Genomic DNA, 18,632 nt, shown 5'->3' with positions numbered 1-18,632 from the left:
CTGCAGTCTCCCGACCTGGTGGGCCTTGGCTCTGAAGGGAACTGCCCCAGGGCCTGCCACCTGGTCACCCACAAGTCACAATCACCTACCCCCAGGGCCTTACCTGGGTGTGAGCTCTGCTTCATGGCCCCTGCAGTTGGCCCCAAGACTCTGCCTAGTGTCTTTACAGGACTAGCTCCACTGTGGACCATAGCCCGCTTTGCTCAAGCTAAACCCTGTCCACTGAGTGGCTGGATCTGCTCCCTGAGGTCCTCCTTTCCATACACACTCTACCAATTCCAGACTCAGCAGTGAAATAGATGGTCCAAGGCCTGCCCTGCCTGCCTGTTGAATAGTTCAGAAGTTCCTCCGTTGCAAACTAAAAATAAAATTCTAGGCCTTCTCCTCCCTCCCACCATTGACTGAATAGACACCCTCTTGGCCAAGAGGACCCCAGAAAAACCTTAAAACCGAGTTCCTGGCCATGATGGAATGTGAGGTTGGACAAGCTCTATTATATCCCCTCCCTTTTGCAGTTTAGATACAACTAACCAGCATTAATGTTAAAATACAGATCATAAGATTGACAAAACGGGCTCTTTGTAGCGATAAGATACCACATTATAAACAGCACCTAAGGCGATGCCCAGCAAGAGTGAAGTCACACACTCCTACACTTAAAGAATAAATTGAGGTAGGTGTATCACTAGAGGTCAGGAGTTCGAGACCAGCCTGGCCACCATGGTGAAACCCCATCTCTACTGAAAATACAAAAATTAGCCAGGCATGGTGATGCATGCCTGTAATCTCAGCTACTCAGGAGGCTGAGGCAGGAGAATCACTTGAACCCGGGAGGTGGAGGTTGCAATGAGCTGAGATAGCGCCACTGCACCCCAGCATGGGCGACAGAAGGAGACTCTGTCTCCAAAAAAAAAAAAAATCCAAAATCTCATGACGTCTACTAGTACTATCCCAATCAAAGCCACTGTTATTTCTCATGTAGATTATTGTAATAGCCACCCGAGCTACACTTTCTGCTTCCATCCTTGCCCCTCCCCAATCTGTTCTTCACCCATCAGCCAGAGTCATCCCTTCAAAACACAAGTCAAATAAAATCACTTCTCTCTGCTCGAAATCTTCTAGCAGTTCCTCAAATCACTCCATGTAGGATGCTACAATGAGTGGAGGAAACTACTAGGTCTGCGATCCACTCATCTTGAGTGGAGAAGTACTGAGAATAGATCTGGTGAGTCAGCACTAGCTGCTGAGGAGCCCCGAGGAAGAGGCTTTGGAAGTGCACAGGACTGGAAGTACAGTCTTGGAAAGTCACCACGTCTGGGGAGAGGAAATCAACGTAGAAGGTAAAGAAACTGAGAGGTAAAGAAAAGAAAGGAACAAACTGGTGGAAAGCCAGAGTCGCACAGAAACAAAAGAGAATCAGAATCAAAAGACATACCAACCTCTCTCTCACAAAAGCACCATCTATTCATGAAAATTGAACTTCACGGTACCAATAGAAGAGGGCATTCTTGAACGAAGAATCTTAGTAAGCCACTCAAGTCCTTCATCCCCATCTCACAAAGAAACACTTGTTATTGATAGGCCAGAAAAATTCAATATACTTTTGAGTAAACAAAAATGACATGCAGCACTTACACAAAGCCACTATGAGAAGAAAACAGAAAGTCAGAGGCTACTATCTTCAACTAATGAATTTCTTACCTGCCAAAACAACTAAGAGACAGGAAAATTATGACACAGTGTCTAATATGAATTAAATATTATTAGACAGGTATTTACAGATATAAAAGAACACCAAAATTCAAAAAATCAGGACAGAAATGGACAAAAATAACTCATGAAGTGAGTTAATAAAACTCAGGAAAAAAGTAAAAGAAAAAACTAAACCTTTTCAGAAATAAAGATTAAATCACAAGATGCCTAAAGGCAAATAGATTCACCTTCAACTGAAAATATAATAAGGGATATAGGCAGGAAAACAAAAACAAATAAACAGGTAAAATACAATCAGAGAAAAAAGTGATAGCTATAGAAAATAAACAAAAAATTATATACTGTACATATAATTAGAATTGCCTAAAAAGCAAAACAAAACGATGGGACAGAAATAATATTTAAAACTATAATCCAATAATGATTGTGGCAATGATCACACAACTATAAATTATTTGTCAAAACCCATCAAATTGTACACTTAAAAGTAGTTAAGGTTGGCTGGACGTGAGTAGTTAAGGTTGGCTGGACGTGGTGGCTCACGTCTGTAATCCCAGCACTTTGGGAGGCCAAGGTGGGGAGATCACCTGAGGTCAGGAGTTTGAGACTAGCCTGGTCAGCAAGGGGAAACCCAGTCTCTACTAAAAATACAAAAATTAGCCGGGCGTGGTTTGGGGTGCCTGTAGTCCCAGCTACTCAGGAGGCTGAGGCAGGAGAATCGCTTGAACCTGGGAGCCAAAGGTTCCAGTGAGCCGAGATTGCGCCATTGCACTCCAGCCTGGATAATAAGAGCGAAACTGTGTCTCAAAATAAATAAATAAATAAAATAAAATATAAAGTGTTTAACCATGAAAATTATAATCTAAGAAAACTTTCTGGAATTAAAAAAGGACTAAATCTAGATGTTGAATGTATTTATATACACAAGAAAATTGACCAGAATGGCCACCTCTGAGACATATCTGAGTAAAGCTATTATAAACAGAAAGAAAACATTCTGTTAGCAAAAATTCCAAATCACATACAAAGTAAAGAAAATCAAGTGGTCATCCTATGTGATAATCTCTAGTGCAAAACTCAAAGAATAGTAAAAGAATGCATAACTGTAAGTTAATACGAGAAAAAATAATTATAAAAAATATTTTATTAATCTAAAAGAAGCCAAGAAAGGAAGAAAAGAAGAGACATAAAACAGATGTGTCAAATAACATGCAAACAGAGAGTAATTGTAAACCAAACCTTATCTGGAATAACAGTAAATGCAAATGGACTAAATATTGCAAGTAAAAGGCTAATGTTGTCAAACTGGGTTTTAAAAATACTGCCTATGGCTTATGGCTGGGCACAGTGGCTCATGCCTGTAATCCCAGCACTTTGAGAGGCCAAGGGAGGTGGATCACCTGAGGTCAGGAGTTCAAAATCAGCCTGGTCAACTTGGTGAAACCCCATCTCTACTAAAAAACACACAAAAAAATTAGCCTGGCATGGTGGCAGGCACCTGTAGTCCCAGCTACTTGGGAGGCTGAGGCAGGAGAATCGCTTGAACCTGGGAGACGGCGGTTGCAGTGAGCCAAGATCATGCCCCAGCACTCCAAGCTGGATGACAGAGTAAGACTCCATCCAAAAAAAACAAAAAAACAAAACAAAAAACTGCTTATTAGCCAATGTCACTGCCTTTCAATTAAAAAAAATGTTTGTGGCCGGCCATGGTGGCTCACACCTATAATCCCAGCACTTTGGGAGGCAGAGGCGGGCAGATCACGAGGTCAGGAGTTTGAGACTGGCTTGGCCAACATAGTGAAACCCCGTTTCTACCAAAAATACAAAAAAAATTAGCTGGGTGTGGTGGCAAGGGCCTGTAATCCCAGCTACTTGGGAGGCTGAGCAGGAGAGTCAATTGAACCCGGGAGGCGGACGTTGCAGTGAGCCGAGATTGCGTCACTGTACTCCAGCCCAGGAGACAGTGCAAGACTCCGTCAAAAAAAAAAAAAATTAAGTATTGCTTACAAAAGACACACACTAAATAGAAGGACACAGATGGTTGAAAGCAAAAGGATGGAAATATTATATTCCACATAAAAGCTTACCCAAAGATAGTGATACTAATGTTAAGCAATGTAGACATTAAGCCATGAAGCTCTAGTAGAAATAAGTTCATTTCATAATGATAAAGTGGCCAATTGAATAGGAAGACATCACAGTCGTAAATCTATATGTAGCCGATAACATAGCTTTAAAATATATAAAGAAAACTAGGCAGAACTAAAGGAGAAAAAGACAAATTCACAGTCATAGAGGAAAATTTTAATACTTCTCGCTCAACATCTTGATAGAAAAGGTATACACACCAAAAAAACTGATAAGGATATAAAAGTATGAACAACACACTTAAAAACTTGACCCAGTCATCTTTCCCTTCCCAGAGCCCCTCTCTCTCACTAGAGAGAGAGCTGTTCTCCTTTCTCTTTCTTCTGCCTATTAAACCTCCGCTCCTAAACTCCTTGTGTCCTAAATTTTCTTAACAAAAGATGACGAACCCCAGGTATTCACCCCAGACAATGAAACTGCTTCAGTGTCATAATTTTGCAAAGGTGGTTTCGATCTCAATTTAATACTTTTTAATTTAGAAATGATGGTAAAACTTTATAATATACATACAATTAGCATTTTTCTTTTTTGTGTTATAAAATGTCATGGAGATACATTAAAAGATTTTCTTAGAATAATCTGTAAACTATTTAAAAGGTAACAATAAAAATTATGTGAACTTTACAAACTGGTTCTTCAGTGCTACTTGTAGGAGAGAAAGGAAAGCTTCCCCTTATTCTCTGAAGGTTTGTCAGTTGCTGTGTAACTGACAATACACAGATTAAAAAAAGAAAAAGGCATAAAAATTATTTAACACTCATGAGAGGGGAATTGCAGAATTATTACCCAATAACCCAATAAAGTCTTCATGCTTATATACTCTTCTTCATAGAGGAAAAGAAGGGAAACAAACAAACAAACAAACTTGACCCAGTTGATACATATAGAGCTTTACACTCAATAATGACAAAATACTTATCGTAGTTTTTCAAGTGAACATGTAAAATGTATTAACATTGACCGCGTGCTAGGCCATAACAGATTCTCCAATATATTTCAAAAGACTTAAACCATTCAGAGCATATTTTCTAACTATAGTGGATTAAGCTTTAAAAATCCATAACAAAAAGATAATTCAAATATTTCCAATTGCCTGGAAATTAAGCAATATACTTTTAAATAATCTGTGGATCAAAGAAGAAATACATCAAAAATTGTAAAATATTTCAGACTGAATGGTAATGAAAATATAACATACCAAAACTTACATAATTCAGCTCAAGCAGCATTTCGAGGGGAATGTAGAGCCTGGAATGCATATGTTAGGAAAGAAGAAAGGCTAAAAACCAGTCATCTAAGTTTCCAACTCAAAAACTAGTAACAGAATAGCTGTACAAGAGAGAAAATAGAAAATACATATAAGAGCAGAAATCCATGGAATAAAAATAAGAGGAAGAAGAATAAGAATAAGAGGGGGAGGAGGAGGAGGAAGAGAAGGAGGAGGAAGAAGAAGAGGAGGAGGAGGCAGAGGAGGAGGAGGAGGAGGAAGAAGAAGACCAACAAAGCCAAGTGTTCAATGAAAAGATTAGTAAGCTCTTGGTAACACTGACCAAGAAAAAAGGAAAAAAAAATACATATACACATAAAAGCAATGTCAGGAATAAAAAACGGGAAATCACTACAGATCCTACAAACATTAAGAGATAATAAGAGGATATTATAAACAACTTTACACCAGTATAGTTTGCACTTTGGATAAATTAGTCAACTTTCTAAAAAAATTTACCAAAGCTAACAGAAGAAATAAGAATTCAAAAAGTGTGCTTTTTCAAAAGTTGTACAGTAGTTGGCATTTAAAATTTCTTAACAGTTCTAGACATGAGAGACTAGTACTGGACTAGCCTTCTTGCCATTGGAAACAATAAAAACTAGATGACATATATAAATAAAATTTTTTTCAGATATTGGGCAACAGGTAGTACAAAACCGGGATCCCTGTGAAAAGAGAAATCCATGTGAGATCCATGTTCTAGACCACAGTACAGAAAGGCAGAGCCCAAGTACAGCACAGTGAGCTCATTGAGCTGAGAAGGCAGACATTTGATTTTAAGCCTTCTGAGGCAGCTGAAAGTTGTGGGGCAGGATACCGAAAAGAGAGAGTTGCACAGAGAAGGAGCTGCGGAAATCGACATAGGATTCCCCTTAAGTCTTGAGCTAAATACTCAACTGAGAATGCAGACTCATTTCTGCGTTCGTGTGCAAGGCACGGTAGAGGACAGATGTTAGGGAGTCGGGAGCTACACAGAGTTCTCACAGTACTGAGAGACACGGAAGTTCCAACTAGCCAGAGTAGCTGGGCAGTACAGAATTTGGTCAAACCTTCAGAAAGTCCACATCTTGGGAATAGAGCTATTCTCTCCTAAGGTTATTCCTAGTAAAAGAAAGGAGTAATCTCAATCAGCCCTAACATAGCTTAAAACAAGCCTCAAAAAAAAAAAAATGCTGATCTACCAGTAAATTGATTGCTTGCTAAAACAAACCCCAACACATTTTAAAGGAAAACCACATAATCCCAACAACACAGCGTCTATAATGTAACACATACAATTAAAAAAAAATCACTGAAGAGGTGAACTAGCAGTAAAATGTAACACATAATCAGGAGAAAAAAAAGTTGAGAAAAACAAACCAAGAAATGTTAGAGATGCTGGAATTAACAGACACAGATCTTAAAACATCCATTATAAATATGTTCAAATATGGTTAAGGACTTAAAGGGAAAAGCTGAATATAGTAAACAAATGGGGAAACTGATTAGATAAATGGAAACTATGGAAAAGGACAAAATGGATACTCTAGAATTAGAAAATACAGTATCAGAAGTGAAACATTTACTGAATGAGTTTAAGCGCAGATCAGACACTGCAGGAAAAAAAGTCCATAAATTTGAAGGGAAGGCAACAGAGCTATCCAAAGTGAATCACGGAGAGAAACAAAAAGATTGCAAAGAAGTGAACAGAGCCTTCGTGACCTGTGGGACATTAAGCAGTCTAACATGCGTGTAACTGAAGTCCCAGTAGGGGAGGTGAGACACTGTGGCAGGAAAAAAGTGTATTTGAAGAAATATAATGAAAAAATATCACCACACAGATCCAAGAAGCTCAAATACTAAAAACCGAAGATAAGTAAAACAATTGTAAAAGCGGTCAGAGAAAAATGAAACATCGAACGAAAAAAATGTTTAGGACGGGGTGCTGTGGCTCACATCTATAATTCCAGCATTTTGGGAGGCTGAGGCAGGTGGATCACTTGAGTCCAGGAGTTTCAGTCCAGCCTAGGCAACATGGCGAAACCCTGTCTCTACAAAAGATACAAAAATTAGCTGGGCCTGGTGGCACATGCCTGTAGTCCCAGCTACTCAGGAGGCTAATTAGGGTGGGAGGATTCCTTGAGCCCTGGAGGTGGAGGTTTCAGTGAGCCAAAATCGTGCCCCTGCACTCCAGTCTGGGCTGGAGTGAGACTCTGTCTCAAAAAAAAAAAAAAAAAAGTTTAATGAAACCACGACAAAACACTGACCTCATCATAAATAATGCCAAGAAACAATGGAACATCTTCAAAGTACCAAAGGCTGAGTGGAGACTGCCAACCTATAACCTATTTAATATCCAGTGAAAGTATCCTCCAATAATAAAGGCAACCACTTCAAAGAACCAGGGATTCTTGGAGAAGTGGCTGATTCTAGGACTAGGATATGGAAAGTACAAGATGAGTCTAGAACATCTTGTAGAGCCAGAAAGTGCTGATCAATGTAGAGGGAGTGGTTAAATTTGAAAACCATCATTTTACAACCAGCAGGATATGGCCTAGGTCAGGAAAATGGGTGATAAATCAACAGTACAAAGTTTGACGAAGAGCAGAATATCTACATAGTCTTAACATTTCTCCCCCCAAATGGCTTATTAGTTGCAAGGGAAAAATAAGTGGATAAAGCAGGCAGCACCTTGACTGGGTAGTCAAAATCAACATCAGCCATGAAAAGCAGGCGGACATGTGGGTCCCTGAGTGTGCTGCCCTGAAAAGGATGCAGCTTTATGCATGTGATGTTGCTGCTGACAGTGCACAGGCGGGATCTAATCACGAGGAAGCACCTGCTTCCTGATGTCACGCCATCTTAAAATTAACTAGGAAGTGTTCTTTAGAAAAATGCCGAACCTGCTTTATACAATTAGATAAATCCAGAGTGTAGAAATTTCCACAAGAGAGCTAGCCTGAGCTCTTCAGAAATGTAATGACATAAAAAACCACCAAAATATTGGTAAGGGGCAGGGGAAGGGGACTGTTCTAGGTTAAAAAAGAGTAAGGAAACATAATCGCGAACTATAATATGTACTCTTGATTGGTTCCAGGATCTGAAACAAATGCTATTAAAGTAACAGTGGGCACAAATGAGGAACTTAAATATGAATTGTATATTAGAAAATATTCTTCAGCCGGGCACGGAGGCTCACGCCTGTAATCCTAGCACCTTGGGAGGCCGAGGCGGGTGGATCACCTGAGGTCAGGAGTTTGAGACCAGCCTGACCAATATGGAGAAACTCCATCTCTACTAAAAATACAAAATTAGCTAGGTATGGTGGCGCATGCCCGAAATCCCAGCTACTTAGGAGGCTGAGGCAGGAGTATTGCTTGAACCCGGGAGGTGGAGGTTGTGGTGAGCCCAGATCATGCCACTGCACTCCAGCCTGGGCAACAAGAGCAAAACTCCATCTCAAAAAAAAAAAAAAAAAAAAAACAAAAAGGAAGAAAGAAAGAAAGAACAACAGAAAATATTCTTCAATTCATACTAAGTGTTTGGGGTGTGATAACAATCTTGTGGTCCTGAAGGAGAATGTCCTTATTCTTAAAGGAAATGCACAAATATTTAGGAGTAAAATGTTGTGATGTCTGCAGTTGTTTTCAAACAATTCAGCCAAAAAACCAAAAAGAGAGAAAGAAAGCAAATGTGGCAAAATATTAATTAATAACGATTAAGAAAAGGATATATAAGTATCCATTGCACTCTTCTTTCAACTTATATGTGTGTTTGAACATTTTTAAAACAAAAAGCTGAGAGAAAAAAAATGAAACAGGAAGAATGACCCTAAAGAAAACAAGGATAGCTTGGGAACAAGAGAAAACTTCATTTTTACATACTTTTTTACATATTGTATTTTCAGAGAAATTTGAGAAACTATTACGAGCACAAAAAAGAACAGAAAGCTCTAAAATAAGAAAATTTAGTAAGCAACCTAGAGCTCTCGGAAGTGAAAAATATAATCACTGAAAAATAACTTAAATAGAAGGGTTGGTAGATGAGAAAATAGATTTTAAAAACTAACAAAACAGAAAATGTGAAAGAAAAGATAAGATCTACAGAGGATCAATTCATAACTCCAACGCCTGACTAATAGTAACCCCAGAAACTAGGAACAGAAACATATGGGGCAGGGGCAAGAATTTTCAAAATATAAAACAAGAAAACTTCCTAGAACCAAAGAACATTTGACTTCCATCAAAGAATAATGAATGACAAATAACTCTGCCCAGGCACGCCCACATCATCAGCATGGAAGTTTAACATGCTGGGGTTTCAGAGACTTTTCAAGATTCCAGAGATATAAACAAACACACTAACATGTCACCTACAAAGGAACAAGAGTCATGTAGGATTCTCAATATTTTTACTAGTCATGCTTGATTCTAGGAGCACCAGAAAATCTCCAGGTGGCGAGGAGGCTGGGCTTCCCTCCAGGAAGTCCTGTGTCATATGCTTGGCCCAATACCCCAATACCCCAATCGATGAAATTATTTTTCATTCATTATTCTTTGATGGAAGTCAAATGTTCTTTAGTTCTAGCAAGTTTTCTTGTTTTATATTTGGAAAATTCCTCCCTCCCCTATATGTTTCTGTTCCTAGTTTCTACAATTACTATAGACGTTGGAGTCCTAGGATTGATGATCCTCTATAGATCTTATATTTTCTTTCACATTTTCTGTTTTGTTAGTTTTTTAAACCAGTACCCTGGTGACTTGTATATCTTTCTTTTTCACAAAAGAGTGAATTAACTGACTGTGGGAACATCTGTTTGTTTATCTTTATATCCTCTTCTCTTTATTTCTAAAGTCCTAAAAAGAGTAGACACTCAGAATTCTTTTTTGTTTGTTTGTAATTTTTCGAGATGGAGTCTTGCTGTGTCGTTCAGGCTGGAGTGCAGTGGCGTGATCTCGGCTCACTGCAACCTCCACCTCCTGGGTTCAGGTGATCCTCCTGCCTCAGCCTCCTGAGTAGCTGGAATTACAGGCATCTGCCACCACGACTGGCTAATTTTATTTTATTTTTTTGTATTTTTAGTAGAGATGGGGTTTCACCATGTTGGCCAGGATGGTCTTGAACTCCTGACCTCATGATCTGCCCACCTTGGCCTCCCAAAGTGCTGGAATTGCAGGCATGAGCCACCGCACCCAGCCCAGAATTCTTTTGAAGAAGTTGTATCAGTGTCAGTCTTTCCTTTCATATCTCACCACTTCCTTCCCTCTCATTTTCCATCCCCCTCTTACTCTGTTCTCTTATGCATTCTGGAAACACCGAGAACCTCAGTATGCTAGATAAAGGGGTATCAAATAGACGAAGATCAGTCCTGAGTTCCAGGAGCTCACAGCTGCGAGGAGAGAGACCACGTACAGGGCCATGGCCCTCCCGGGAGCTTCCTCTCCAAACCTACAGCACAGAACCCAGATGCACCTACCTACACGAGAGTTTCATGCCCTCTATTCTTAAATCTGAATTAAAGATAAGTTTTATTTTATTTTATTTTGTTTTTGAGATGGAATTTTGCTCCTGTTGCCCAGGCTGGAGTACAATGGCACGATCTCAACTCACCACAACCTCCACCTCCCAGGTTCAAGTGATTCTCCTGCCTCAACCTCCCAAGTAGCTGGGATTACAGGTACGCACCACCACGCCTGGCTAATTTTGTATTTTTAGTAGAGACGGGGTTTCTCCATGTTGATAAGGCTGGTCTCGAACTCCCAACCTCAGTTGATCTGCCCGCCTCAGCCTCCCAAAGTGCTGGGATAACAGGTGTGAGCTACCATGCCTGGGCTTATATGTTTCTAGTCCAAACATTTAGCTACCTTTTTTTTTTTTTGAGACGAAGTCTCACTCTGTTGCCCAAGCTGGAGCACAGTGGCACAATCGTGGCTCGCTGCAGCCTCAACCTCCTCAGGCTCAGGTGATTCTCCCACCTCGGCCTCCCTAGTAGCTGGGACTACAGGTACGCACCACTACACCCTGCTAATTTTTTTGTTTTTGTATTTTTTGTAGAGATGGGGTTTCTTCATGTTACCCAGGCTGGTCTTGAACTCCTGGGCTCAAGCAATCTGCCTACTTCAGCCTCCCAAAGTGCTAGGATTACAAGCATAAGCCACCATACCCGGCCTACCTACTTTTAACTTGTGGAATTTTCTATAAGGTCAGGGATGCCTGGGGGAACAAAAGTTTCCTCCTTGGTATAATGCAGGTAGAATCCACATGCTGCCTCCAGCTGCTGTACTTTCCTTTCCCTGCGAGTTATTCTTTGCAAGGGGAGGCCACAGGATGCAGACAAGGCCTCATCAGCGACCACTCCTCCCTCAGATCAGAGGTGGCCCTGAGGGTAACAGCGGGGAGCCACACTGGTGCAGAGAATGCCAAGGAAGGGAACTGGGAGGGTGAGGCACCTCTGCAAACAGTTCCCAAGGGAGCGCCTCCACCTGGTGGCCACGACAGGAAGCAGCGGTTCCCTTTGCCAAGGACATGGCCAACAAGGAGTTAAGGTTTTATACACACAGACCAGCGGACCCCGGACCCTCTGCATGTCAGAACCTGGATAATGTAGCTTAAGCTTCAGGATCCCTCCCTTACACAAGTCCCTTCTAAAGCCAGGGAGCAGTCGTAGCAAAATGCTCATTATGGACATATATTTTGTGCAAAATTTGCAAAACTAAGATTTTTCATATCATCTTTCCTAAAGAGGGTCCCACAAATTATATCCGCTTTAGACGCCAAAAAGTCTATCTTTGACCCTGATTGTCACATAGGGGCCACTTGGTCCAGAGCTCTCTGAATAGGTTTTCTTTCTTTCTTTCTTTCTTTTTTTTTTTGAGACAGAGTCTCGCTCTGTCTCCCAGGCTGGAGTGCAGTGGTGTGATCTCAGCTCTCGGCTCACTACAACCTCTGCCTCCTGGGTTCAGGCGATTCTCTTGTCTCAGCCTCCCAAGTAGCTGGGATTACAGGTGCCTGCCAACACGCCCAGCTAATTTTTGTATTTTTAGTAGAGATGGGGTTTCACAATGTTGGCCAGGCTGGTCTTGAACTCCTGACCTCGGGTGATCCACCTGCCTCGGCCTCCCAAAGTGCTGGGATTACAGGCGTGAGCCACCGCACCCAGCCCTGAATAGGTTCTTTAACCCAAATTCCAGTGCTCACTCCCCGCTCCGTCCCCGGGAGGCTACACAGAGGACCCTGGGAGAGCAGCGTGCACCAGGGTCAGAGACACAGGTTCACAGTTCAGAGAGATGTAGGTCTACGTCCCACCTCTGTCACTCACTAGCTGTGTGTTCCTGGTCTCTCTGTGCCTCTCTTTCTTCACCTGTAAAATGGGGATAATAATTGTGCATACTCCGGGCTGCTGTGAGAATACAATCAGACACACATGGTAAGTGCTCTGTTTGGTGGCTGACCTGTAGGAGGCGCTCCAGGAATGGCGGCTACGGGAAAGGTTCATAAATAGATACCCTAAACTGGGAATACCTATTCCTAACTTAAATTCAGCTCTATATATTAAGCATATACAAAATTGGCAGTATTTCACTGTTTTTTCAACTTATAAAAATAGCGGTTTCACATGATTTCCCCTAATAGAACAAGTGACAAAAATTACTGGGCATGGTGGCTCCTGCTGTAATCCCAACACTTCAAGAGGCTGAGGTGGGAGGATTGTTTGATGCCAGGGGTTCGAGACCAGCCTGGGCAACATAATGAGACCCCCCCCGACTCCACACACACACAAAATCAACGGCCAAGTAGGATGCAGGTCACTGGGAGTGAGCCTCACTCCTCTTGCTGGGAAAGGGTGTCTATGCTTTGCCTGCGGAGGCTGCGGAGGCTGAGGAAGGTTGTTTAGTCTTCTCCCTGGAGCCCCCTCTGTAACCATAAAGGCCACTGATAAAAGGGCCCATCCCTGCCCTCCCTACTTTCAGTCTTTTTTTTTTTTTTTTTTTGAGAAGGAGTTTCACGCTTGTTCTCCAGGCTGGAGTGCAATGGGGTGATCTCAGCTCACTGCAACCTCTGCCCCCCGGGTTCAAGTGATTCTACTGTCTCAGCCTCCTGAGTAGCTGGGATTACAGGCACGTGCCACCGTGCCTAGCTAATTTTCATATTTTTCATAGAGATGGGGTTTCATCATGTTGGCCAGGCTGGTCTCGAACTCCTGACCTCAGGTGATCCACCCGCCTTGACCTCCCAAAGTGCTGGGATTACAGGCATCAGCCACTGCGCCCAGTCCCCTACTTTCAGTCTTAATGGAAGAGTGACCCAGGAAGGGCTCTTCGGCCCCCAACACTCCTTGAAACACTGCCCCTTGCTGTTGGTCTCTGGGGGCACCAGCTGCTCTCCGAGTGCAGCTCCTGTTTTGGAGGTGCTGGGCTCTGTGACCACTTGCTGTCTCAGTCCCTGGAACCTAGTCTAGAAGTCTCTCTTTCTTCATCTGACCCTTAGGGAAGCAGGGGAGGATGTGGTGTGGAGACAACCAGGCCCACATGGAGTCCACACGGCAGAGTCCACACCTGACAGCCAAAGTCCTCCAGCCAAAAAGCTGTCCCTGAGAATCACAAACTCACAAGAAAACCCTCTGGCTGCTGGGGCCTGGGCGTCTCCTGTTTATTTCCCACCCAGTGGCCCGCAGGTCCCATACTCTAGAGAACGTACTCGGAATTCTGGTCCCATACTCTAGAGAACATACTCACACCCAGCTGAGCTGGGCGTTCAGCTGGTCAGTAGGTCAGACCACAAACATGTAGGAAACACGTGCTGTTAAGACAGGTGTCTGGCTGGGTGCGGTAGCTCACGCCTGTAATCCCAGCACTTTGGGAAGCTGAGGCAGGTGGATCACAAGGTCAGGAGTTCAAGACCAATCTGACCAACATGGTGAAACCCCGTCTCTACTAAAAATACAAAAAGTAGCCGGGCATGGTGGTGCGTGCCTGTAATCCTAGCTACTCAGGAAGCTGAGGCAGGAGAATCGCTTGAAACCGGGAGGTGGAGGTTGCAGTGAGCCGAGATCACGCCCCTGCACTCTAGCCTGGGAGACAGAGCGAGACTCAGTCTCAAAAAAAAAAAAAGACAGGTGTCCTCCGAGATCAGAGAGGACTGTGCCATGCAGACTGTGTCAGCGGAGTTCTCTGAGAAGCAGAGGCTGAGACAGAGTCAGGAATACCCACGCCTCATTGGTAAGCAACGCCTCTGAGAGGAAAGGGAAGGAAAGGTGGGTGGGGCAGGGAGCTGCCAGACCACAGTGCAGATGTGACAAAGCTTGGCCGGCCCCAGGGGAGCCCTGGAACAAAGGTGTCCAAGACTTTCTGTTAGAAGAGTCGTTCACAGGGCAGAAGCAGCCAGGCCCTTATCATCAAGCTCAGTCTCTGGCTGGGGCCACCCCTCGAAGAGCATGATCTCAGCTCAAAAGCTGCAGCTGACCTTGAACACCAGCCCAGACGCTGAGGCTGTCAACTCATCACACTCCTCGCGGCTGGGCAGCAATACTTTCTCAAAGGAGAATGGAGCAGAGCAGCCCCATGTCTGCCACAGTCCACATGTCACGGTAATGTGGACACATGTGGGGAGCAGCTCCCCCAGGGATCTGGGGGGCCTCTGTACAAGAGGGAAGTTACGAGCATGAAATAGAGACCTCATTCACTGCTACTGGCCTCAGGGCCACCACTGGTGCTTGGCTCCCTCCGCTATTCCTTCTAAATTGCCCTGCCCTCAGCTCCCACCTCTGTCGGCCCTCATGGTCTAGCTGTGGGGTGACCCTAGCCCTCATTCTTGATGAGTCTGAGCCCCTGGTAACAAGGAAAATGTCCTGTCCAGACCCTCCTTTGAGGAAAGATGTGCTGCCCAGCTGCAAGGAGTGTGGTTGGCAGGCAGCCTCCAGCTGTTGGCTTTGTCAGGATCTGCCTCAGTGTTGGAGCCAAGGTCACCCTATTTTGGGAGCAAGCCCCAGCCCATAACTGAGCACAGTGGCAGTCCAAGGGCCTAGCCTTTACCAGTCTTTGCCTGGAGCCGCCCCACTGGGCTGGCAGAGATTTTGTCTTATTTGCATGGCCATCTGAGCCTCCCCTCGCCCAATCTTGCTTTACTCCTTTTCTTCACAGGTGTTACTCCTCAATCAAATGTCTGCTGCCTAACTCTGTCTCACACCTGCTTTCTAAAGAGCTCAACCAAACATTTGGAACTGGGAGTGGTCCAAGAAAGCATCCACCATGGAAGTGGCCAGGCCTTCAGTGGACAAAATGACTCAGCCAGTTGACAGTAGCCAGCCTTTGTCAGTGCCTACCCCGGTCCCAGCACAATGGGCAATGACCGAGGCTATGTATGGGCCCAACACCATGAATTCCCACTTAACAAGGTCAGTCCAGCTCTTGCTGCCTCTGCATGTCCAATCTGCCAGCACAGAGATCCATGCTAAGCCTGTGGTATGGCACTACTTCTTAAAGAGACCAACCAGCCACATGGTGGCAAGTTGTCTTCACTGGAACCCTTCTATCCTAGAAGGTCAGCAGTTTTTTCTCACGAGAATAGACATCTATTCTGGGTATAAGTTTGCCTTTCTTTCCCATAAGGTCTCAACCAGCACTGCTATCCAAAGGCTTATGGAATGCCTGATTCACAGGCATGTCATCCCACACAACAGAGCATCTGTTATGCAAATGTACCCAGGATTCGTATTAACCAGATATGGCCAAATATGCAGACGTGGAAATGACTGTAATGAAGAAGGAAGTCTATCCTCACAGATCCTGGAAACAGGAGGCACAGCACACCATGCACGGCCACGTGAAGAAGGACTGGGATTGATCAGGAGGCAAAAGAGAGGTGAGGGCAGAGCGCAGCCCGGAGCCTCTATGGGGGTTCTCATGGAGAGTAGCAGACAAGGCAGGGTAGGTATGCTGAGTCCAGGATTGGAGAGATGAAATCGTTTTGGCAGGCCCTGGGCTATAAAGAGTGATCCCTGCCGGGCGCGGTGGCTCACGCCTGTAATCCCAGCACTTTGGGAGGCCGAGGCGGGCGGATCACGAGGTCAGGAGATCGAAACCATCCTGGCTAACACGGTGAAACCCTGTCTCTACTAAAAATACAAAAAATTAGCTGGGCGTGGTGGCGGACGCCTGTAGTCCCAGCTACTCGGGAGGCTGAGGCAGGAGAATGACGTGAACCCGGGAGGCGGAGCTTGCAGTGAGCTGAGATCGCATCACTGCACTCCAGCCTGGGCAAAAGAGGAAGACGCTGTCTGAAAAAAAAAAAAAAAAAAAGAGTGATCCCCAATTGTTTGGTACACGGCCCTGGGGTGATTTAGGGCGGGGGAATATTGGCTTGATATATGAGAATTTGATAAAGGACACGGTTGGGGATGTGGACTTGGATTGGTTGGTTTTCCTATCAAGGACGTGCTTGCAGGGAGGTTGTTTGCTATTTCTAGGAGTTAGCTAGCCCTGAGAGAGGCAGGATCAAGATCCCAAATGCCAGAACACCAAGAATACAAAAGATGAGGACGTGTAGTTAATGCAGCATCTGACCAGGGAATTCCCTTTACAGCAAAGTAAGGCCATGATCATGAGATCACTGGTGGTCTCACCTGCCACACCATCAGAAGCTGCCGGCATGCTAGCTCTTTGGAATGACTTGTTGGTGGCACAGTTGGAGTGCTGGCTTGGAGGCACCATCCTCCAGGGCACAGAATGCTAACTGGATCAGAAACCTTTATATGTTGCTACAACCTCAGTAGGAAGAACAGATGGACCTAGGAACAAAGGAGTTAAAAAGCAGGAGTGTAGACTGTGAGTTTCTTAAGAAAAAAAGTAAGAGTGGCTCATTTGCCATCACTCCCAATGACCCCCTGGGTGAACTCGTGCTTCCCATCCCTGCACCTCTGGGCTCCACAAAGTCAGAGGTCTTGGTACCCAAATGGGGCTCACTTATCACTACGACGAACAGGGGCCAGACTGTTGATTATGTGAAGATAAGATGAGGACCAGCATCTCTGCAGCCTTCAGATTCTTAAGTATGGCATTCATTTCCACCTTTCCCCTCAGAATGTGATAGATACTGTTTTTGATATACTGTTTTTTTACTGTTTTGTGTTTTTATTCTGGCTGGTCAGTGGCAGTTTCAGAGGATTGTGTCTGGGCTTTACCGCTCTCATGGCACTTAACCTATAGGCAAAGGTTCCAATGTGGAGGTTACCCCAACTACCAAGTTTGTCAATCTCTGTTCCACAGGCCATCAGATGAGTCTATGAACATCATAACCCCCCTGTAAGCAGAGTTTTTGGCCAGGACTCCATATGCTCTAAACTAACAGAGGCACCATGATAACACTTCAGGCCTCTGGACAGCAACATCAACTCAGACTCTGTGTCCAACTGTCCTTGAAATATCTGAATATTATCTTGGCTGGGCGTGGTGACACATGCCTGTAATCCCAGGACTTAGGTAGGCAGAGGTAGGTGGATCACTTGAGGTCAGGAGTTCAAGACCACCCTGGCCAACATGGTGAAACCCCATCTCTAATAAAAATACAAAAATTAGCCAGGTGTGGTGGTGCTCACCTGTAATCCCAGCTACTCCAGAGGCTGAGGTGGGAGAATCACTTGAACCCAGGAGATGGAGGTTGCAGTAAGCCAAGATCGCGCCACTGCACTCCAGCCTGGGCAACACAGTAAGACGTTGTCTAAAAAAAAAAAAAAAAAAAATCTGAGTATTACCCTCTTACCCAGGACATAGCACTATGGTAAATGTAAGGTCCTTTTGGGGAAGGACTGCAGATATCATTAAAGTGCATACTTGCCATGATATTGCAGGATTCTCCTATGGTTCCAACCACCTCTGCAGCCAATAGGTCCTGAGTCTGAAAACTGGCTGAGGTTCAGACACTGGGCAAGGGATCATGACTTTATTGGGGCAACTACCCTCAGCCTCCTGCTTATTAATTTTTGGTCTTTTTTGAATACAGTTGTCCCTTGGTATTTGTGCAGTATTGGTTACAGGACCCCTATGGATGCCAAAATCCATGGATGCTCAAGTCCCTGATAATAAAATGGCACAGTATTGGCCAGGCATGGTGGCTCATGCCTGTAATCCCAGCACTTTGGGAGGTCGAGGTGGGTGGATCTCGAGGTCAGGAGTTAGAGACCAGCCTGGCCAACATGGTGAAACCCCGTCTCTACTAAAAATACAAAAATTAGCTGGGCGTGGTGGTGGGCGCCTGTAATCCCAGTTACTTGGGAGGCTGAGGCGGGAGAATCACTGGAACCTGGGAGGCGGAGGTTGCAGTGAGCTGACATCACGCCACTACACTCTAGCCTGGGCGACAGAGTGAGACTCTGTTTCAAAAAAAGAAAAAAAAAAAGGCACGGTATTTGCACACACCTACACACATCCTCCTGAATAAATAATCCCGAGTACTTATAATACCTAATATAATGTAAATGCTATGTAAATAGTAGTTATACTGTATTTTTAAGGGAATAATGACAAGA

At 44.1% G+C, this 18,632-nt stretch overlaps 1 long non-coding RNA gene across 1 annotated transcript in view, besides 2 other annotated features; it reads right to left on the bottom strand.

Moving 5' to 3' along the window:
- Positions 1-5,242, bottom strand: part of LINC01839 (long intergenic non-protein coding RNA 1839) — a 76,964-nt gene extending 71,722 nt beyond the window's left edge. Inside the window, exon 1 of the long non-coding RNA XR_924788.3 lies at positions 5,070-5,242. This is a non-coding gene — a long non-coding RNA (long intergenic non-protein coding RNA 1839). The remainder of the gene's footprint in view (positions 1-5,069) is intronic.
- Positions 14,244-14,743: an enhancer, noted in NCBI's record as "H3K4me1 hESC enhancer chr3:184184187-184184686 (GRCh37/hg19 assembly coordinates)". NCBI's record gives its function as "activates a minimal SCP1, AML or CMV promoter by ChIP-STARR-seq in primed H9 embryonic stem cells {active_cell/tissue: H9 hESC(primed)}" and the evidence as "EXISTENCE:reporter gene assay evidence [ECO:0000049][PMID:30033119]".
- Positions 14,744-15,245: an enhancer, noted in NCBI's record as "H3K4me1 hESC enhancer chr3:184183685-184184186 (GRCh37/hg19 assembly coordinates)". NCBI's record gives its function as "activates a minimal SCP1, AML or CMV promoter by ChIP-STARR-seq in primed H9 embryonic stem cells {active_cell/tissue: H9 hESC(primed)}" and the evidence as "EXISTENCE:reporter gene assay evidence [ECO:0000049][PMID:30033119]".

The sequence above is a fragment of the Homo sapiens genome, chromosome 3 (genome assembly GCF_000001405.40).
Source record: "Homo sapiens chromosome 3, GRCh38.p14 Primary Assembly".
NCBI classification, from domain to species: Eukaryota; Metazoa; Chordata; class Mammalia; order Primates; family Hominidae; genus Homo; species Homo sapiens.
The sequence above is the reverse complement of the archived record's forward strand: the minus strand, read 5'-3'. Positions and strand labels throughout refer to the sequence as shown.